At 41.3% G+C, this 22,939-nt stretch overlaps 1 annotated feature.

The window, feature by feature from the left end:
• Positions 5,797-5,886: a silencer, noted in NCBI's record as "silent region_4369". NCBI's record gives its function as "represses an Ori minimal core promoter by ATAC-STARR-seq in GM12878 lymphoblastoid cells {active_cell/tissue: GM12878}" and the evidence as "EXISTENCE:reporter gene assay evidence [ECO:0000049][PMID:35858748]".

A 22,939-nucleotide genomic window follows, 5' to 3' on the forward strand; every position in this document is an offset into this window, starting at 1 on the left:
GTCTCCCCTACCCCCTTTTTTCTTTTTTTCACTTGCAGAAGGTACAGTAATAGGTAGAAAGCTGGAGTGGTTGTAAATTGCAGCAGTTAATGTCAAATTGATGGAGCAGTGATCAAACGAAGTTCATAACCACACGATGCAACCTGAGAGTGGAATTCTCTCTCAGACATTTCTAATGACTGGGCTATACAATCATAAACGTGAAGACCTTTTCTGGGAGGGGCAATAGAAAGAATTCATGTGGGTGACCACAACCATGAACGAGGATGACACTGGACGTCAGTTTTGGAGAGAGCTCTGATGGTTTGGGACAACGGTACCTGAGTAAGAGCCTCAGCTCTGGGACATCTTCAAGAATTAGGATTTTTCCCAGCTCCTCCACTGGTTTTCTACCCTTGATTGCAGGGATAAGAGAGGAAAAGTTTGCTTGTCTAGAAAAGCCACAGTGGCAAATTGCTGAGCTGTCTGCCTAGCTCTAGCATCCAGCACAGTCCATTCACAAAACAGAATGAGAGACAATGTCACACAATTAACAGTGACACATTTAAAAACCAATTACGCTAGACGCTACGCAGCTGACTTCCAGCTGTCTGTTCAGCTGCAGGCAGCAGGAGGAAAAGTGATTTGATGCAGGAAAACTTTACGCTAAAAAGAATCGGAGAGTAATATCCAATATATCCCATTGTTGCCTGCATATAGAAGGGAAGGGCAGGTCTGCTCACTTTTACTTTATTATATTTCTCCCCTCTGTTGGATGTAAAAGGTATAGTGTCCTAGGGTTAACATATTCAGAATGATTTAGTTGCAGAAAAAGAGGAAATTGCAACTTGATGGCAAGAGTAACGAAATGAAATGAATGACAAAGTCCCCTAAAATAACTATCAGGGTCTCCTCCCTCCACAGTGGAGGAGCCCCTCTCTGTCTCATGCTTCTCTGACATGGTCTGCACATGCTGCTGGTTGGGTGTGAAGTTAGTATCCTAGGCAGAAGAGTGAATTGACAACTTTATATGTTTTCAAGTTGTTTAAAGTATAAACCACTTTAGCGATGGATCTTGGAATGGTTGAAATTGTGGTTTGTGAAATAAGCACTTAATTTAAGATTGGAAATACCCACAGGAATAACTGAGCCTATAAAATATGAAAATTCACATCAACCTGTAATGATAAACATATATGAAGTACACAACCTGTAAAGATAAGAGTATATCACATCAACCTGTAATGATAAAAGTATATGAAGTACACAAAAGCATGACTTGAGTTTACAAGACTTGTCCAGAGAGCACAGAAAATCACGTGCTACTGGGTAATTCAGACAAATAGCTTTGGCTTGCCCTTAATTACCTAAACAATTCAGGACTGAGCTGGGCCATTTTTAACTGAATATAATTAGGGTGGTTCCCTTTGGTTGTGTGGACCTGGGTATATAATATGTTGTATTTCAATTCCTATAATTTACAGGCATATGAGCAGGCTAAATATTGTAAAGCAGGATATGGTTCCTGGAGGATGCCAGCATCCACCCACTAATTGACCTGCTAAGAACCAGCAGCAACATGCTCTCCAGTTGTGGTCTGGAGGCTGAATTACAATAAATACCCACATGAGTGTCTTATTTAGATTTGTCCGATTAAAAAAACTCATGTACAAAGCTGATGAGACCTATGTTAGTTGCAGGTTAATACTTGCTGATTTCTTGCCGTCAACTCTCCAGTAAACAAGAACGAAGGCATGGCCAGGCGCTCTCTGTTGCTGCCAGGAAGGGAGGCTTTGAGAAGCCAGCTGCAGGGCAGGGGCATGGCCAGGAGCATTGGTCTTGGAGCCAGATAATTTGGGTTGCACTCTTTGTTTGGATACTTCTCTTCCTTTGACCCTTCGTCACTTATGGAAGCTAGACCACAGTTTTCTCATCTGCAAAATAGAGGCAATGATGTGGTTCTCACAGATGGTTGTGAGATACAAGGCGGCAAGGTTTGAGACTGCTCCTTATAATTAAGTCGTTGGCATAGAGGAAAAGACTGGTGTTTGCAATCCCTTTACTAGGCAGCATCTTGGTGGGAATTCTGAGAAAGGACCCAGTGAGCCTATGGCCAGTCTCCTCCAACTTGGGATGGTGTCTAGATTCCAAACAAAGAGCCAGTGGGCAGCAGAAAAGCAAAGCACTGGTTTCTGACTGAGGGGCCATTGGGCCCCCCGTGGGAGACAGATCTTTAATAATGTTTTTAATGACAGTTCCTTTCCAATGTGGGGGAAGTCTGTACTGAGAGAAACTCGATGCCTCTGGCCTCGGGCGGCAGAATTACCATGTATCTTTTAATCTCAAGGAATAAGGAGCTTTAGTTCACAACAACCCTGTGCATCTTGTCTAGGCCTCCTGCTACACTGTGTTCAGGTAATCACATCAAATGGAGAAATCAGATAGTTTCTGGCTGATTCAAAATGTCCTGGCTGAGAGGCAGAGGAGATGTCAACAGAGATTTCAGGCTCATGGAAAAACGCTCAGGTCCAGCTTCATCTGCTTGTTCCATTCTAATCAGAGAGGTCCTCTGTGGGTCGTAAGACAAGAAACTAGGGGTTTAAAGGTCCCTCAGGAACCAGGGACCAAAATCTGGATCTGAGGAGCAAAATGCTTAAACAAGCTCTGTCTGAGGAGTGAAGGTTAAATGACCCCAGGAATGGGCCAGCTCTTTCTTAAGCAACTTCCTTGGTTTGGGGCCAGAAGGCCTGATGCCCAGTGTCTGTGAATGCACAGGATTGCAGGCGGAGTGCAGCACTTGAGCACCTTCTGTGCTTTTCAGCTCAGCCTTGGAGCAGTTTTATTCCATAAATATTATTATATTTTATATTATATATCATATATAAGTGTATTATAAAAGGCAAAATTGTGACCTGTTGGGTCTTGGACTCAGAACCCATGCTATGGAAAAAGGGACTTCACCCAGTAATAAAATGCTTTGGGATTAGTCCCATCAAAAAGATAAAAATCTTAAATTGCAAGCATCATAAGAGATCTAACTTTATTTAATCGTGGACACGTTTCCTGCTCTAACTTTTTAAAGATGGTCTGCATTTGAAAAGAATTAGGACAATCCTGTATCTTTGATCAACTTGAAAGTCTCTTTAGGGGAAGATATTTAACACTCTGGTTTTTAAACAGAAATCTAAATATGCATCAGCTAATAGTTTCCTACATTAAGCAGTATCAACTTTGCCATTTCATGACATCCAAATGAATAGGAGACCTGTTTTATGCTTAAAAGTGACTATCTGTGAACTAAACACACTTGACTGAGAGGTTTTTATGTGTCATTATTTTTGACACAGCTTGTCATTAGTTTTAACTTTGACCTGATTGCAATGAGGAATTTGGTTGTGCAAGCTTGCCTATTGTTTATCTATACTCAGACTTAATTATTGCTTCCCAGGTCAGTCATCACCATTTTAAGTGGAAAGAAATGGCTTTAACCCTTGGGATGATTCCCACAGAGTTTATTTTGTGTACTTGGATCATGAGGTCAGATGCATAGAAAAAGTGGTCACAGTACTCCTGGGGTGGGGGTGGGGTGAAGTGCAGTCCAGCTACTTGGTGGAGGAGAAAAGTGCGAGGCTTTCTCTCTTGTAGAATCACCTTAGTGGAGATGCGTGAGTCAAAAACTAAGGGGCAGAAGAACGGCCATTGTATGGTGTCTCAGAAGAGTCCTTCTTTCCGTTTCCCCACTATAAAGCTTTTTTTTTTTTTTTTTTTAATTTTCACCATTAAATTCCTTACAGTGGGAGGCACTATTGATACGATGGGCAGGGTAATTTTTCTCTTGTGTCTAATTCCTGGCTATTGCAGGATGTTTAGCATCTCTGACTTTCTTCCCCCAATTATTTTGGCAACAACAATGTCTCCAGAATGTTCAAAATTTACTAAACACATTAACCTGGTTAGTAGAGAACAAAGCATGACTCAGATGAGAAGGCCAGAGAAATTTTCTTGGGAAAAGAGAAGAGAGGGAAGCTTCAGATTCTGCTATAGATCATGTCAAGTGGTAGAGGTGCTAAAAATTTCTGTGGAGGAGCACCAGCAATGAACCTTGCCTACTAGAATTTAGCTGAATGTGTCCCTTGTTAGGTGGGGAGGGGGGAAGGAATAACATTTCTTGAGTAACTACTATGTGCCAGCAATTTGTAGTAATTATCCAACCTACTCATCATTATTCTGTGAATTAGGTATAATTATTCAACTTTCATATAAGGAACTTAGGGCTGACAGTGACAAAGTTGGGATAGGAATCCCTGACTGCTAAAACTGAAGCTGTCTCTCTTTAAAGATTTGAACTCATTATGAAACTTCCTCTGCATTCTAAGTTCAATGTTTTTCTTGTCATCCTGGGTGTTCAAGATCATATAAACAGATAAGGAAACTAGGGTTCTGTTACTTAACTTGAACAACTTACCTCTACCATGAACCTGGTAGAAGATGCCAATCAGAGCTGGGCCTGCTTAAGTGCTTGCAGCTACAATTACTGTATAATTCCTGACAACACTAGGCCTTGCTTTATACCGTGATGGCCATCATTTCCTTCTCAAAACTGACCCGTGCAGAGTGACTTGATAAGATATTCATGATACCATGATGGGCTGGAACTTGGGTCTGGGGTTCAGTGGCAGAGACTGGACAGGTGTTAGATAAACCTGTTTCCCTTTGCACCAGGACATACGACTAGACTACATTCCTCCGTTCCTTGTGGTTAGGAGTAGTCATAAACTAGATTTTGGCAAATGGAATGTGACTGAAAGTTATGTACATCACTTCCAGGCCTGGCCTATAAAATCCTCCCTGGGGATCCTCCATCATCCTTCCTCCCTGTCTGCTGGATAAATTTTGGCACCAAATGACCTTGAAAACCATGTGTTGTATGTGCCAGAGCCTTTATCACCCTGGGTCCCTCTGAAGCAAACTCCCTTTTTCAGACCCTCCCACTGTTGATTGGATTTTATACACTGGGTTCAGCTCACTAGTGTGCTTAAATTAACTATCTGGCTTTCACTGGCTGGCAAGAGCTGACTGTTAAATTTGCAGGAATTGTGTAAGCCAGTTGACATCAAGTTGATAGCTTGGAATCAGTGTGATTGGAGCACTTACAATACAGAGGTTGGCAAGTGCTATACATCAGGGCTTTTATTGCAGAGAGTCATTTTACCAGCACACCACTGGTTAAGCCACTGAAAAGTATTATTATGTAGGTAGCATTATCATAATTTATATTCTGTGACACAAAGTGTTGTTCTGCCTTAAGACAACCTAAAAGGTGTGAAATTGGCTTAGAGGTTGGTGGAAGGTGGCAAGAGGTGGGATTTGAGGAAATGAATGTCAGAGACAGGAAAAACAGGAGCATGTTATGCAGTGACAAGACAATTGGTAAAACGTTGTCTGTGATAACTTGGAAGGCAATGTGCCCATGTAGCCCATACCTCTAGGGGAGATGGTTGGAAAACAGAATGGTAGTAGTGTGTATTGGCTATTAGTAGCTGAAGTTAAAAAGTATTAGAAAATAAGAGATAAAACCCAGGCAAACACTGACTTGTTTATAAATAGAAATAAAGAGGAATAGCATCCAGAAATAAAGGACTTGTAAAATTTTAAAAAGTTTACTACTTTAAGACCCCAAATAGTAGGAAATAAGACAGGAATAACTTTTATATAACAAAGCCTCCATTAAAAAGTAAATCTATACTCAGGTTTTTTTTTTTCAATCATCACAAATACTTTTAAGATGTGAAGTGTTTGAATGCATTTAGATTTTGAGTTTCATTTTGAATCACTTGAAAAATAAAATTAGCCCTGTGGTTTGCTCTTACCATCAAACTTACTGTTCCAGTTACCTTTTTTTGCTGTGTAACAGAACACTTCAAAACCTAGTTGTGGTCGGGCACAGTGGCTCACACCTGTAATCCCAGCACTTTGGGAGGCTGAGGCAGGCGGATCACCTGAGGTCAGGAGTTCGAGACCAGCCTGACCAACATGGAGAAAACCCCATCTCTATTAAAAATACAAAATTAGCTGGGCATGGTGGGGCATGCCTGTAATACCAGCTACTCGGGAAGCTGAGGCAGGAGAATCGCTTGAACCCAGGAGGTGCAGGTTGCGGTGAGCCGAGATCATGTCATTGCACTCTAGCCTGGGCAACAAGAGCGAAATTCCATCTCAAAAACAAAACAAAACAAAACCTAGTTGCTTAAAACAACAATAATCATTTATTTTGCTCATGAATCTGTAATTCGGGCAGAGCTCAGAAAGGAAAGCTTGTCTCTGCTCCATGCAGTGTCAGCTAGGGTAGATTAACTAAAGGCTGGAGGGTCTGCTTCAAGGTGACACACGTGTCTGGCAAATGTGTACTGGAGATTGGCTGGAAGCTTGGATGGGATTGAGGGATGTGGGCTTGGCTCCCTCCCGACGTGGCCTTCTGTATGTAGCTTGGGCTTCTTCACAAAATGGTGGCTGGGTTGTAAGAACAAGTGTCCTGGCAGAGAGCCAGGTGGAAGCTGTGTTGCCTATTAAAAACTACTTTGGAAGTCACATAGCATCATTTGCCCTGTACTCTGTTATTCCAAGTAGTCACAAAGGCCCTCCCTAGGTTCAAACGGGAAGAACATCCATTCCACTTTTTGACAGGGAGTGGCAAGGTTCTAGAAGAATGTGTGGGATGAGAAAGATGACTGTGGATGTTTGCAACATATGTTCTGCTGGGGAGTGAGAGAATCACAGCTCAATTCATTTAAGAACCCATCTTAAATGATCTAGAGAAATTTGTTACCTTAAAGTGATGTTTTGAAGTTAGTGCATTCATTTTCTACTAGTCTAAGCCCAAAACCTGTTATCCAGGTAATAACCAGAATACAGTCTATAGGGCAAGAAGTCCTGAAGGGATACCTGGAGAAATTTAGAGAGAAACAAAGACTTCTTACTGGATAAGACTAGGCGAGAATTCATGGCCATCCATTTATCCAATGAACATTTGTCGAAGGCCTTCTATGTGTCAAGAACCATTCAAATCACTAAGGAGATAAAAATGAATCATTTACTTTTGCTCTCAAGGAAACTGAAGGTGGTGGTGAGGATGAGGGTTGGAGGTGAATAGAGAGGCATCTGTATGTTTACGAACTGTTACTATAGACCAGTGATAGGGGAACAGTGCTTGTGGAGTGCTGAAGTTGATGGTGTCTCATTCTACTTGGGACAGTTGTGAAAAGTGGAGAAAATTTGACCTGAATCTTCTCTTATGAAAAATCAAGAGTCAAGTTCCTAGCAGAGGTGGGGCTGCCAACCCGGCTTTACTGACTCAGAAATCTAGTGCTCTTTCCATAAAACAATTCAACTTTTTTAGATTAAATTGTGTTGTACACATTACGAATAGATTGCGAGTTCAGCTGTTAAAATTCCTTGTGAATTTTTTTTGTTCTTTAAATACTGGAGAGATGTAGGCAAAGGTTTTGATTAGATATATTAACAAGGGACTGGGAGAGCATGCAAACAGACCATCTTCAGATTATGCAGAAGTCTTATTGGATCTGAGAACTTCAGTTTCCTTAACTAAACTTTTACAAGAGCTGCTAACAAGGTATCACAGAGATTTGTTTTCATTTTGTTGCTTTCCTTTTGCTTAGCAATTATCTGAGGGAAATTGTAATATAATGGCCAAAAAGGTAAACATAAAAAATTAAGGACATGAATTATCTAGTAGTCCAGAAATTAGGAATTAAAGACATGTGCTTTTCTTAGGATCTCAAAAATTCGTGATCCTAAAACAGTTGACCCTGAATATTTAACACAGAATTTGTTTCCTCCTCCATCTCTTATAAACTTTGATTTGGTCCAGAGTTCTTGGAGCCTGACGAAGATGAAGAGCAATGATTACTTAACTCCACTTTGTCAAAAATCTCAAATTTTTCTGATATTTCTGGTAACTGTAAAGGTGGCAAAACATTCTTAAAATGAGAAACTTTTAAGTTAAACTCATTTTAATTTAAAAAGGGGCATGCCGCCTGTAATCCCAGCACTTTGGGAGGCCGAGGCGGGCGGATCAGTGAGGTCAGGAGATCGAGACCATCCTGGCTAACACAGTAAAACCCCGTCTCTACTAAAAAAAAAATACAAAAAATTAGCTGGGCGTGGGCGTGGTGATGGGCGCCTGTAGTCCCAGCTACTCGGGAGGCTGAGGAGGGAGAATGGCGTGAACCCGGGAGGTGGAGCTTGCAGTGAGTCAAGATCGCGCCACTGCACTCCAGCCTGGGCAACAGAGTGAGACTCTGTCTCAAAAAAAAAAAAAAAAAAAAGCGGTGGGGGGGCGGGGCGCATGCCACTCATGAAGTGAATTTAAGAGAAAAAGAAAGATGCTGCTAAATGGAACAAATGGTCAGTGTGCTTTTGCCATCCCTGGCATATGGGTTGGGATGATGAAAAGCTTTAACGAATTGTGGACTACTAGTGAAGTTTCTTGCCTCTGGAAACTTTATCAAAATCTATTTCCCAAACCTTGTCTTAAAGCTGTCATCTGATGAATCATGTTCTGATGTGACATGTGTTGTACTGAGAGCCAAGGTGAATTTGTCCTCATTTTATGTGTCTTCCTAAGCCTGGGACAGCTCATGGAGAGCAGTGCACCACCCGTCTCAATGATCTTCATGCTATAACAAATGTAAGTTTGTAATCAGATAGCTACTGCTGGCCAGGTATGACAAAATGCTAATTCTAATTATAAATTATATTTTCAAATGCGTTTCACAGTTTATAACTGAGTGAGAAATGCTTAATTCTCGCCATGTGAACTTCCAGATTGCTATGTTGAGTGGTGCAGATGTAGCTTTCTTAAGAACCTTTGAAGCCAAAATTCAGCTTTTACGTCAAAACATCTTACTCTTGTAGTAAACATACATGAGAAGCAGGGGTCTGTCTTAGCATCCTGAAAATGCTTTCTGTCTCTATTGAACACACATTTTGAGTGACATAGCATACTTAACCATTTGGATCTAAAAGTCTGCAGAGGAATTTGTGGATAAAAAGGGATAGGCCTATCTGGCAGCTATTCATTCGTAAAAGTTATTGGATTCTGAATTAGATGCAGGCAGTATTTATTTTGTGGTCTAGTGAATTTGAATTCTACACTAGATATCATGTAGATTCTTATGGTAGGATGATATCCTTGAAAAATCCCAGAACCCTAAACAAATAAATTAATCAATTGATTGATTTAATGACTTCTTATTGCTTTTAGGATGAAGCCTAAAGTTTTTGACTAGAATACTACAGTCTCAGGGTCTCTCCAGGCTCATCTGACCTTATTCTTCTCTTTCTGTGAACCAGCCACATGAAACCAGACCTAGTTTCTTGAATGTTCTGTCCTGCCCCAAGGTCTTTGTACTGGCTGTTTCCCCCGCCCAGGAACTTCTTCTTGGTGCCCTAGTTCATTGCGTTCCTTCCTTTAGATTTCACCTCAAATGGCAATTCTGCTGAGAAGCTGTGTTTTACAAACTGTTGTGTACTACATTCACACTGTGTAACTCTCTTTCATTGTGGTTATCACATTGTGTAATTATTCACTTACTCGTGTGACTATTTGGTTGGTGTCTGGCTGCTGCACAGGACTATGCAAGAGCAGAGTGCACTGTCTTTTTGCTTATTGTTATATTCTCGGTGTCCAGAATAGTGTCAGGTTTTCAAAGATATTTGTTGAATAAAAATATTGCATAAAGCACCTAGCAGAGTGTCTGATATACAGTAGGCACTAAGTAAGAAGTAGTTATCAGATTAGCCATTTAAAATACCAAGGAATCTAAATGTTGTTTTATATATTTTTGTCTTGCTTTATGATTACTTTGACTTTATGCTTCCCTTGACTTTCTGGATGAACCTAGAAAGTTACCTCCTTGGTGCCTCAATTTTCTCCAGAACGGGGCAATAAGATAGCAGTGGCTGCATTACCGAATCCCTGAGGAAGCGTGAATGCTGAATTGATGGTAAGGTGTGAGTGTATTTTGGAAGAAGTAATTCTTGTACTGAATAAATCAATGGACATTAGTATTGGGCCCTAGTCTCTTCCTCTCATTCTTTTACATCTGTAGAGAGGTCTCCATCCCTCTCTCTCTTCACTTCAGTCTCAGTGCCTTTAAAGGGAAGGTGGCAGGGCAGTAACTTTTATTTTCACTTCCTCTGTGCCAGGCCATTTGACATACACTATTTCATTTTTAATACTCGTACCTACCACTTGAGATAGATATTTTGATCCTGATTTTATGGATAAGAAAATAGAGGCCCAAAGAGGATAAGAAATTTGCCTGAGGTAACCTAGATAATAAATGAGGTAGTTAGGATTTAAGTAAGTAAATGTCTCTTTTACTGAAATCTGATGATGTCACCCACTATTCTAGAGAGATTTTGAGTGTCTCTAATACCTGGAAGGCTTCATTGCCCACTCAATTCCAACAGGGTGTTTTAGCAGCGTAGAAGCTGAGACCCCACTCTTTCCGGTGACTGGAGTGAGGAGGCAGCTTTCCTCTCAGGCGTGTTTGCCTGCCTCGATTTACTAAAGAACCTCTGGGAAGAAGTGTTGACACAGCCAGACTGATAAAAATATTTCTGGCGGAGTAGCGTAACCCAAATGAAGTTGGAGTTTGAGCTGGTTGGAGACCCCGGAGACCTCTGGAGAGGGGTTGTGGAAGAGGGAGGCTGGTACAGGGAGTCAGACCCTGCCTTGACCTGGAGGTCAGAGTGAGAAGCATGACCTCTTCTTGCTTCCCCATCTGTCATGGGGGCTCACTCCAGCCCCAGAGCCCTGGGAAAAAGCATCACCTGTGGAGAGGAAGCCTGCCAATAAACCACGTGGCTGTGAACCCAAGTGAAGGTAATGCAGAAAGAATCATATCTTTTCATGCAACTCTTGTGTGGCGTGCCAGTTTTACTGTCAGAATTTTCAGGGAGCAATGTTATAGGAGCAGAAATTCTGATCCACAGTTGACTTCTGTGGGGTGTTAGAGTTGTGTGGCCGTGGTTCATCTGAGAGTGGTGGAAAACAATGGCCCAGTAGATTTATCCTGAAGATTCCTTGACATATTTGTGGCAGAAGGAGGACTTCCTAAGCATTCACACATCTTTTGGAGTCAACGACAATGATCTGTTAATGCTGGTAGGGGTCTATCTGTATTCACCATTTAGTGAATCCTGAAACTTTCAGGTTCCAAACTGGACAACAGGATTAATGAGCCAGATTTCACAGGCAGGTTCTATTAGGCACAGGGGCCTGGGGCTGTGAGAGGGGACACATGAAACTTTAGCATTTATGTGAATTTTTACTTTCTCTTAATTAAGAAACTCCACATTGAACAGAATACTCCTTTAAGATTCTGACCAGTTTGTGATTATAAGCGGAGAAGGACTAATTCAGGTTTCCATAGTACAGTAAATAAAAATAATTGGACTAGAGTCAGAAGATGAGGTCAAGATAAATGAATCTATTTAGTAAATATTTATACAAATTTAGCATTCTACTAGATGCTGGGGTTAAACTGGTGGGTTCATGAAGCTTATGGACTAGTGGGGAAAGAGTGACATTAAAATATATTATACCATCTTGTATAATTAAAGAATTACATACAAATGTAAAATTACTGGAGTGGTAAGTGCTATGGTGAAGTCAGTGGTGCCAGGAGAGCACTGATGAATAGGGGAATCTGGCTTAGCTGGGGAGGTCAGTCAGGTTTACTGATAAAAACAAATGTCTATGTGAGCATTTGGATTCAGCGGCGTGGGTAGCTGGCAAAGCACTTTTAGAAAGTGGGGCCAGGAAGGCCTAAAGCTCAGTGAGAAGAGGAATCAAGCACTTCCTAGTCTTGCTGCCCCAGACCTAGGATGATGAACTGGTAGATTCCTTGATTTCTCTTTAAATTGAATAGTCCATGAGTTATCTACATTTAAAAATGTTTTCTGATCACATGTGAGAACATGAGTTTGACTTTCCTCACATCCTAGCTTTAGGAACTTCCTAATTTATGAAACAGGGATGCAAATATCTGTTTTACCGACCTTCCCGTTAATGTGCAGATTGATACAAATAATATGGCCTCTATATTATTCTAGGAAGAAAAGTAAGATACTTTCCTCATTGTGGAATAATGGGAAGTATATATTTAGTCCTTGTCCCCTGTCAGTTGCTGGCACAGAGCTCCTAAAATCTGTGGAATTTCCTGAGTGATAAGGGTGGCAGGAGCTTCTTTTGTTCTAATGAGGTGACTCTTGGGAGGACCTCTAGATAACTTCAGGGTGGGGGCCAGTCACCAGAAAGGCCAAGTCTTGATTAGGAGCTTGGAACTTTCAGCCCCACCCTCTGACCTCCAGGGAGGGCAGAGGAAATGAAGATTTAGTTCAGTCACCAATGGCTAGTGATCTAATCAATCATGCCTCTGTCATGAAGCTTCCATAAAACCCCCTAAACCACCCGGTTTGGAGAGCTTCTGGTTGGCATTCATATCAAGATCCTGGGAGGGTGGCGAACCCAGAGAAGGCATGGAAGCTCCATGCCCCTTCCCCACATCTTGCCCTGTGCATCTCTTCCATTTGGCTGTTCCCAAGTTATATTCTTTACAATAAACTGGTAATAGTATGTAAAGTGCTTTCTGAGTTCCATGAGTCGTTCTAGCAAATTATTGAACCTGATAGAGGGATCTTAGGAAGCTCTGAATTTGCAGTTAGCCAGGTAGACAGGTGAGTAGCCTGGGCACCCTGTTTGCAGTGTCTGAAGTAGGGACAGTCTTGTTGGACTGAGCCCTTAATCTGTAGAGTGGGCTAACTCTGAATGATCAGAATTGAATTGAATTGTTGGACACCCAGTTGGTGTTGAAGAATCAGAGAACTGGTTGAGGTAGAAATAAACCTCCCACTTTTTAATGTCCAATTTCAACCTGATCCATCTGAAGGTAACAATTTTAGGCCATGAACATTAGGCTAATATGACTCTCTCACAAGGTGGTAAAATTAGCATGTTTCAACACATTGTTCTCTGGGAAAATGTTTCAGAATTCTCATGGTGGACAGCTGGTGACACTCAGGGAACTAAGAATAGAGAGCTGTCGTCATGTCACCTACAAATGCAATCAAGGGACCTTTCATGTTGGGGTTGCATAACAGTTTTCGTCTGGCCCGTTTGCCCAATTTATGTTTTTAAATGAATGACTTGAAATTAATACTTATTAAACTATTTTATTCATGGAAATATACAAATCTCTTCAAAGCCTGTACTACAGAAAAATGGCCATGCAAGGTGGACTACCTGAATGGATGCTGGGTAAGGAGCTTTGAGACCTGCACTCTGGCTACAGTTTTGTTACAAATGTGCAGGCTGGTATAAATAATATCCAGACCCTTCAAGAAGCACATCCAGACCTCTTCTGTTTAAAACTTTCTGCTTGGTATCACAGATTCTCTTGCCTATCTCTCTGTCTCCAGTATATTCTGACTTTCAGCAGCCTATCGATACAACTGTGGTAATATCAATGAACTGTTAGTCGAAAATCTCATCAGCTCACAAAGAAAGTCCAGTCTTTTCCTAGGAGTCCTTTGTTCAAATAGTTCCATGGTGCCTGCAAGTCAATCCTCAGCATCTGCACCACAGCAGTGGAGGGGAAACCTAGAGTGGCCCCTGAAGGCCCAATCTTTTGGCCATAAAAAAGTACTACAGACTGGGTGGTTTGAAAAACAGAAATTTATTTTCTCATAGTTTTTGAGGCTGGAAAGTTCAAGATCAAGGTGCCAGCAGGGCTCTCTTCCTGGCTTGCTGATGGCTACCTTCTTGCTATGGCCTCACATGGTAGGAGAAGAGGTGGGAGAGACCTAGGTAGAGATAGAGAAAGAGAGAGAGAAAGAGAGATCGTCCTTGTCTTATAGGGCCACAGTCCTATTGGATTAGGGGTCCATCCTTATGACCCCATTTGACCTTAATTAAGGACACTCTCCAAAAGAACCTATCTCCAGATAAAATTACATTGGGGGTTTGGGCTTCAACATGTGAACCTTGGGGGGACACAATTCACAGAACCAGGATGAATATGGCGGGCCCCTGCCCTTGGAAGCACGCAGGGCAGCAACATCTCTACTGTAAGTCAGATCTCCATGATGTTATGATATAAGTGATAATATGCAATAGGAGACACAGAAGAGAGCACAATTAACCCTAGTGGGGGCTGAGAAAGGCTACTTGGAAGAAGTGAGATTTAAACTACATTTCAAAGGATGGACAAGATTTTAAAAAAGCAAATACATGAAATAAATGAGAAAAAATAAATGCATTTGCGATAGAGGAAAAACCTTGGGAAAAAGATAAAAACAGGAAAATAAGGGAAATTTGTGGAAGCAGAGGTAGACTAGATTGGTTGAAAGATAAGATTTTTTTGGGTGCTAGTGGTATAGTGCTGATGAAACTGCAAAGACTGGAAATGGGGAAGTGATGGAGAGAGATTTGAAAGGCAGAGAGGAATTTGGGCTTCATTTTATCCACTTGTGTTGCTGATGGCAGCATTTGAGCAGGGAAGCAACAGCATGACAGCAATGTTGCAGGAGAAGGGACTGACAAGGAGAAGATTCTAGAGCAATGCTGTGATATACAAATAGAATGTTGGCCAGGCACAGTGGCTCGCTCACGCCTGTAATCCCAGCACTTTGGGAGGCTAAGGTGGGAGGATCGCTTGAGCCTAGGAAGTTGAGGCTGCAGTGAGCCATGATCACACCACTGCACTCCAGCCTGGGTGACAGAGCAAGATCCTGTCTCAAACAAACAAAAACAGAATGTGAGTTACAAGTGTAAGCCACATGTAACTTTAAATTTCCCAGTAGCCACATGTATTAGTAGCCTATTGCTACTATAACAAGTTACCCCAAACCTAGGGGCTTAAAAAAGCACAAATTTGTTCTATTACAGTTTTGGAGGTCAAAAATCTAAAATGAAGATGTTGGCTTGGCTGTTTTCCTTCTGGAATCTTCAGAGGAGAATCTGTTTCATTGACAACTCCAGCTTTTGGAAGCCACTTACATCCCTTGGTTTGTGGCCCCATCTTCCATCTTCAAGCCAGTGGGATAGTATCTTCTGCAGTTAAATCTCCCTCTGCCTCCTTCTTGTAAGGACCCCTGTGATTATATTGGACCCATCCAGATACTACGGGATATCCCCTGCATCTCGATATCCTTAGCTTAATCACGTATGCAAAGTCTCTTTTGCCATATAAGGTAACATATACATAGGTTTCAAGAATTTGGAAGTTGATATCTTTGCAAGGTCATTATTTAGCTACATTAAAAAATCTAAAATGAGGCTAGGCGTGATGGCTCACTCCTGTAATCCCAGTGCTTTGGGAGGCTGAGGCAGGCAGATCACTTGAGGTCAGGAGTTCGAGACTAGCCTGTCTAACAGAGCAAAATTACAAAAATTAGCTGGGCATAGTGGCATGTGCCTGTAGTCCCAGCTACTAGGAAGGCTGAGGCAGGAGAACTGCTTGAACCCAAGAGGTGGGGTGGCAGTGAGCTGAGATTGTAGCACTGCACTCCAGCCTGGGTGATGGAGACTCTGTCTCAAAAAAAAAAAAAAACCTAAAATGAGACTGGTGAAATGATTTAATATTTTAACGCAATATATTAAAATATTTTAACATGCAATCAATATAGAAGTTATTAATTATATATATGTAAAATTTCCTAATAAGCCTTTATAGCACATCTCATTTCAGATTAGGCACATTTCAGGTACTCAGTGCTGACCTGCAGTCAGCATTGGGTGAATGGTGGGATACAGTAGGAAGTGGTAGGGAGAACTGGGTGACGGAGACAATAGTCATTCGTTACAATCATTGACATGGGGATTTTTTTTTTGGAGAGGGCACTCGTGAATTCTATTTTGGACACATAAAGGGGCTGTCCAGCAGGAAGGTAAGAATGAGGGTCTGGAATTCAAGGAGGGGTTAGACTGGAGGGCAAAATGTAGAATCGTTTTGTGAGATGGTGGGACCCGTGATCATGGCCGAGGACAGAACCTTGGGAACACCTATGTTGAGAGGGCAGGGGGAAGAAGGGAAGACTGAGGAGGAGACAGAGAGGAAAGCAAGGGAACTTCTTAGATGGGAGAGAAATGGTAGCAGCTGGTGGGAGGAAGGCCCAGCAGTCCAATCCCAGCAGTGTCTCCCAGGTAACCATGAAGCGTCTCTTCCCCAGTCTGGCATATCTCACTCCAGATTGAACGTGATTACTCAGTCTTCCACACAGGGGTGCTTTTTAGCCCTCAGTGGGAGTGGGAGTGGGAAGATGCTTATTTACAAAACTGTTTATCTTTAAAGAGTAACATTACAGCTGTATCTACCAAGTGGGTTTGGGATTCGGCAATTACGTGGCTAATTTGACGAGTACAGAGAGCAGAAGGGGATGTGCCAGTACCCTTTTTCATTAACCCCTAAGGAATTTATCTCTACAGGGATTAAGTTAACTGAGTAATTGTCAGGTCTTCCTCCAGTGTGGCTGTATTTTAAATGATATATGACTTTGTACTTGTTTGGGACAAACGATCCCATTTCCTTCCTAGATCCTTGCTTCTAACCTTTGAAAGAGGTGGTTCTGTATAATAGGTGAGTGTTCGCTTGGGAATCAGGCTGCTAGGTTCAAATCCTGGGTCTGCCTCTTGCTAAATATTTGGCTTTGAGTTATTTAACCTCTTTGTGCCTCAGTTTCTCATCAGAAAAATGGGGACAGCATTCACTTCCTATTCACGTATTCCCAGTATTCACTGAACAGTATTCACTTGTTATAGTTGTTGGGAGGATTAAGTGAATATATATGTGGATACTTATATCTACATACACATCCTTCCTCTGAATCTTTCCCAAGCATTTGGAACATTCTGTCTCTAAGATGAATAGGGTCACAATATGAAATGTGACAAGATGAAATGACTTCTCTGGTGATTAGATAGTTTATTTCTTCTATTACTTAAGATCGTTCTATCTCCAGCTTCTCTCAATCCAATGCTTCCATTGCCAGCGTTGCTCTAAAATGTGGAGAATTTGTTTGCATTTCATCTATAACATAGTGTTTAGTCACAGACAACTCTACCGCTAAAGACCTGCTTGAATAATCCCTGGTGTAACTGACTCTAGCCAGATTATTATTATTTTTAATTAGAAAAAGGTGAAAAGATCAAACACACCTAGACTGATATTTATATTGCTATGTTGTACAGCTATTTTCCATTTTATAACTTCATTCAAGCCAAGGAGTAAAGACAAAAACTTTGCAGAATTAAAACAGTTTTGCAAGACTCAAATAGCATATTACCAACAGACATTTCCTTCTTACTCTTTAAGAAAATGACTTCTTGTGCTTTGGTACTGAGTACAAGTGAGAAAAGAAGCCATTTGAATATCTTCATGTTTTATTCTCTGATTTATTTGCACCAAAAAAGTCCCTATGTGTAGAAATGGAAAATTGTGTTTTTCTCATTCCCATAACTGTTAAGATTAAATTGAAAATGTACACACACAAGCAGACATTTTAAAGACCGCCCATTTCCATTTTAGGGATTTTGTTTATTTGCTTATTTGTTTGCTTTTTTTGTCCACTCGGTACCTAGGAAACGAACGGCCATTTCTTGCAAAATTCTGTGAGGTTGGAACTTCTTTATTCTACTCCACAGATGACACCTAGAGAATACCATCTACTTCCGAGTCCAGATTATCAGCTGATTAAGATAATCAAGCACGGTAGTTTCCTTAAAAAGATCTCAGGGCTATACAATAATACTCTATTTATAGTTTCCTAGAGCTTCGTGGTAAGTGCATGATTGAGACTGGTGATTCTTAACCAGGGGCAATTTTATCCTTCAGGAGACATTCCGTGACATCTGGAGACATTTTTTATTTTCATGAAGGGGGAGGGGGATTGCTACTGGCATCTATTAGGTAGAGGCCAGGGTTGTTGCTAAACATTTTCCAATGCACAGGACAGACTGTCCGCCCCTCTGCCTCCCAACACAAAATTTTGGGTCCCACATGTCAACAGTGCTGAGGTTGAGAATCCCTGTTCCAGAGCCTCTACATTCCAGACAGGCAGGTCCCAAAGCAGGGGTATAGGGAAAAAAGCCACAAGAGAAGGATGTGATAGGAGTCCTGCTTATTTTAAAGATTAGCATTTACGTTTTTGTTATGTTTCTAGCAAGTTTAACAATAAATGCTATTATCCTGGGGAGCAATTAAATATGGCCATTCCAGGCAGCCATAGAACCACCGTTTTTTTTTAATGGAAGTTCATAATTTGGACATCTCTTGCGGATCCTGTGGTCAACCAGGTATTGTGGGTCAATGTCTATGTACAGTTTTTCCTTGGCATATATGGAAGGAAGCAAATTGATTCCTCAGTTAAACTGATTTCACTTCAAAGAAATTAATCCCAGCTGAAGCAGGTTGTCAGAAATTTCAGGTGAGCCATCTAGAGAGAGAAAGAGGAATGTTGTGATCAGGCCTTCAACTTACAGCGAGTTTCTTTGCAAGAAAATGAAAACAAAGCACAGAGGTCACAGACTTTGGAGCCTGCTAAACTTTGCATAGTAAAAGTCCCAGCTCTGTTACTTCACTTGGGTAAATTACTTGGTCTTCTGGAGCCTCAGTGTTCTTGGTAAAGTGGGAGCATAATATATAACTTGCAGTTTGTTATTAAAAATTAAATCAGAAAATATATGTAAAATGCCCAGTGTCGGATATAGCACACAGTAGAATCTCAGTATATTTCAGTTGTTTTAACTTAGCATCTGAGCTGCAACCTAGACAATTCACGTAATAAGAGGAGAGAAATTGCTTATTTCCTGTTTATGCAGGAAAAAGTTTAGCTGGAAGAATCCAGTTTTGTCGCTGCACTGGCTGATGCTGCCCCGCTCCAGGTTGGTTGACCTTGTTGAATAAACCCACTGATTTGGTCTAGATTTTTCTCTATAGAGCTTTAGTTGTGTAAGCCATATCCCTGATAAACGGGTCACAGCCATGATGAAGCAGGCGGAGGAACCCCTCCTTTTGTTCATGGTTACTTGATCGTTTTTCCATCTCTTTTGTGCTTTCCTCATGTCCTGTGAACGTCCGGGACTCAAAGTCTCTGTAGGTATCAGAAGAGGCAAACCAACCTGCATGGGAGTGAGGCAATCCACCAGAGAGAGAACCTAGATTCCAATCACGGTTTTCGCCTCTGAAGTTATACGACCCTAGACTCTGTGATGCTTAACCTTTGGTTTACCCCTGACCTCAGCTTGACCATAATGGTTATTGGGAAATTCACCACCATCCAAAAGGAATGTTTGGAAGGTTAATGACATAATTGTGCCTAATCCTGGTGATGAGGGGAGAGTAAACGTCTACCTTCTGGAAGTGCATAATAAATCTTGGAGGTAAATTGCATTTCCCCTATTGAACTAAACATATCCTAAAGGAAAACCATATGAAGACCTTTCAGTTTTAAGGTCTTTATTCCCTTCAGGGGACTGCAAGACTTCCAGAACTTCTAGAGTGGGGAAAATCTATTCTCAGCACAAATAGAACTTTTGATCTCAAAGGGCTCTGAGTTCCCTACAAGGAAAACACTTTGTGCTATTATCTATTAGGTCAGCATGCAACATTTTCCTTGCAGCCTTCACTGAAACAGTCGTCACGTCTGTTTCCAGAACAGGGGAACTTTGATTGTTCAGCTCATGTTTCATTTTTTTCTGGATTAAAGCCCTCACAGACCACTCTCTCTACCTGATGCCGCTTTAGGATACAAGTTGGACCCCAAATCTAGACCTTCCTAAAAACCTTCCCCTGCCTGTAGGAAGGTACCCTTTTAAATCATTGAAACCTCAGTTACCTGAGATCACAAGTTTCACTCGACCTAAGGGGAGAATGGAAGAAAAAAAAATGTGAGGGTGGGCCTGACCACCTGGGAGAATGTGGGGAAAATGGGAAGGAGAGGGCAAAGTTCTTCGTGCTTCCCAGGGTCAGCCATGAATTTTAAGCAAAGGATTAATTCTATGTAAAGATGAAAACTAGATATTTGTGAGCATGTACTATCTTCTATGTGTGATGCAAGGCATGTTCACATGCATTATCTGGCTTAATTTTTGCATCAACTTTCTGAAGGGGTGTTATTATCACCATCTTTACAGATTGGGAAAGAGTCATTAAGTTATTTGCCCAAAGTCACATAGCTTATAAATAAGAGCGAGGATTCAAATCCAGAGTAGTCTGACTCCTACATTCATGCTTCCCCTCCCCACCCCCACTATAAACCAAGATCCTTTTGGAAATAGCAAAGACTTCCTTCACCTTTCTCTTCTACTTAGTTGCTTCACCCCTTTGTGACTTTTCTCCCGAAGGATTTTGGGAAATTCAATGGTATTAAGGCATGTGAGCACATGAAAATGGAGGCAATAAGCTTCTTGCAAACTTGATGATAACCATTACTGCAAATACTATTGTATTTGTAGTTGTAAAGTGCTTAGTATATGAATTCAACCCTATTATTACCTAGTAATAGTGTGTATTATTATAATAACATACAATTATTTGGCTTGGGTAAAATTGGAATGTTGTATATTTAAGATGTCACCCATGTTCTATTTTTCTAGACTCACTGAAAAATACAGTTTAATGAATTGCATCAAAATCTGTATCTCATAGGAAGTCGATTTGCCTTAAATTTTCACATCAAATTTCCACCTTTACTCAGGAACTTCCTGTTTTCCAGTAACATTCACCAATTCAAATTTATTAACACTGAAAAATGCCTTAATCAAATAGCATACAGATGTCATATAATTCTTGATATGAGATGTATCCATGGGAACCATTTGGCCCAACTAGCTAAATGCCTAGTTACTTGGAAAGATGTCTGCTCCTAGCTCCAGACTGCTGGGCAAGAAGCCCCAGAGACTATATGCTGACAAGTGGACACTGCCAACACCATGAGATCCTTTCCCACTGCAGTGGGCTTACTAGGTAGCCCTGCCACTACAGAAAATACCTAATTAGCAGGCAATAATTCTTCAACTCTTTAACCTTTGACTTTCCGAGGGTATCTCTCCTTTCCCCTTTGTGCCCATTACAATTGATTAGAAGAGGCGATTAAAGTCAATATATAACATTCTGTAACTTTTTAGCAATGGTGATTTAAAAAAATAGTTGGTAGATAATTTTGAAATAATAAGCTCAAATGAGTTTTTAAAAAATATCCTGGTCCTGAGAAATTCATTTCTCTGACTTTATATATTTGATGTACATATTTCACATATTTGAACACTTCAAATATTTGAACACATATTTATTGATCACCTATGATGGCTCCAGTCCTCTATAAGCTTATAATGTGGCATACAAGTAAATGCAGTATACTAAGTTTAACGTAAAGAAGTATGTGGTCTGTGACGTGTACCTTATTACCACCACCAGCAAGGATTATTCCAGTTCAACAGTCTTGTTGCTTGTGTGTTGTGTGCTAGACTCAGTGCTAGATTATGAGGATAGCAAGGTGAATCGAAAACGGATCCTTGGATACCCAGTGTTAGGATTTAAAAAAAGTCTTATGAAGGGTGATGGCTAAATAAATAAATGACATTTAGGAATATCAGCATACTTAGGAACAGGCTGGGGCTCCTCACATCTCAGAAATTTTGGCTTGGTGATAATGCCAACTTCTGCTCCTATTTGCTTAAGAATCTCCTGTTGCATTCCTGGCTACCTTCAGTTTAGAAGTCTTTAGGGCCCAGCTTGGAAGCTGTTTGTTTTCTAGTGGAGGAGAGGGGGTGGGTATGTAGTATGAGCGTTGCCTCTGTGAAGGTGCTAGATCGAACCCAGGTTCCTGGGAACCTTTCAGGAGATGGAGGTTTACTAGGGCTTGGACCTCATCCACCATTGTAGCCAAGGGCCCAGAATCAAATTAGGTAATAGAGACTGGATCCAGCTTGCCCAAGGGTTTGGCAGGAACACAAGTGTCTGTGCGCCTGCTGGTGCATCATGTTGGTTCTGTGCCTGCTTCAGGGAAACGCTGAGATTGTGTTGATTACCATGCATCTAAATATCGGACCTCCATCCAAGTGACTTGCTTTAATTCCCTGGATGGGGCAGGTGGGACCCAAGACCCCCTCTGCGCAGACTTTCCCTACTTAGGTCCCTTCTTGCTCTCAGTTGCTTGCCCTATGGGGCAGGGTGCAAACCCTTTTTGGTTGCTGGCTGCCCCAAGGGACAGGGTGAGTCTTGTTTAGCAAGGAAGAAGCCGGTGAATCTAGCTTTTGTTTTGCAATCCTTTGGGACATGCTTACAACAGAGGATTTCATGATGAGTAAATTTTGGTCATTCTAAAAGGAAAATACATCCACAGATGTATTTGTCTTCTGGCTGTGGTTTCTGAAGTCATAATAAATTACATTAAAAGTACTTCTCTCATTGTCACTGTTCTTTTACTATTCAGTTAGACATTTAAAAAGATGATAGGTGGGCGAAAGATAAAAAGCTGAATGATTGTCTCTGCCTTGGGGGAGATGTTCTCATGGAAAGGAAGTGCACTGCTGGGCAATGCAGGGAGGTCATTTATGGGCAGCTGGATGGTTAAAATTCTGTCTTCTGCTGCTCTGTTTTCTCTATCAAAGTGTAGCTTAGCTTTGCCAGACTAGTTATTTTAAGCTATTGCAAACAATTTCAAAGCTTTATCTTTGCCCTTGGCTCCAGTAAAGTGGGGACCCCCTGTGCAGTGCTCTCTTGGCGTTAAAATAGATCTGAGCTGCTCAAGGGCTGGGGAGGAGGTGGGTTGTTGCAGAGAGGGAAGGCAGACAACAGGGTGGGGGATGCTTTCAGGGCTAGACCATTAAGGGTGCTTCTTTAGGAAGCTTGAGGGATAGAAGTGCAGTTCTGGA

The sequence above is a fragment of the Homo sapiens genome, chromosome 12, assembly GCF_000001405.40.
Source record: "Homo sapiens chromosome 12, GRCh38.p14 Primary Assembly".
Lineage (NCBI taxonomy): Eukaryota > Metazoa > Chordata > Mammalia > Primates > Hominidae > Homo > Homo sapiens.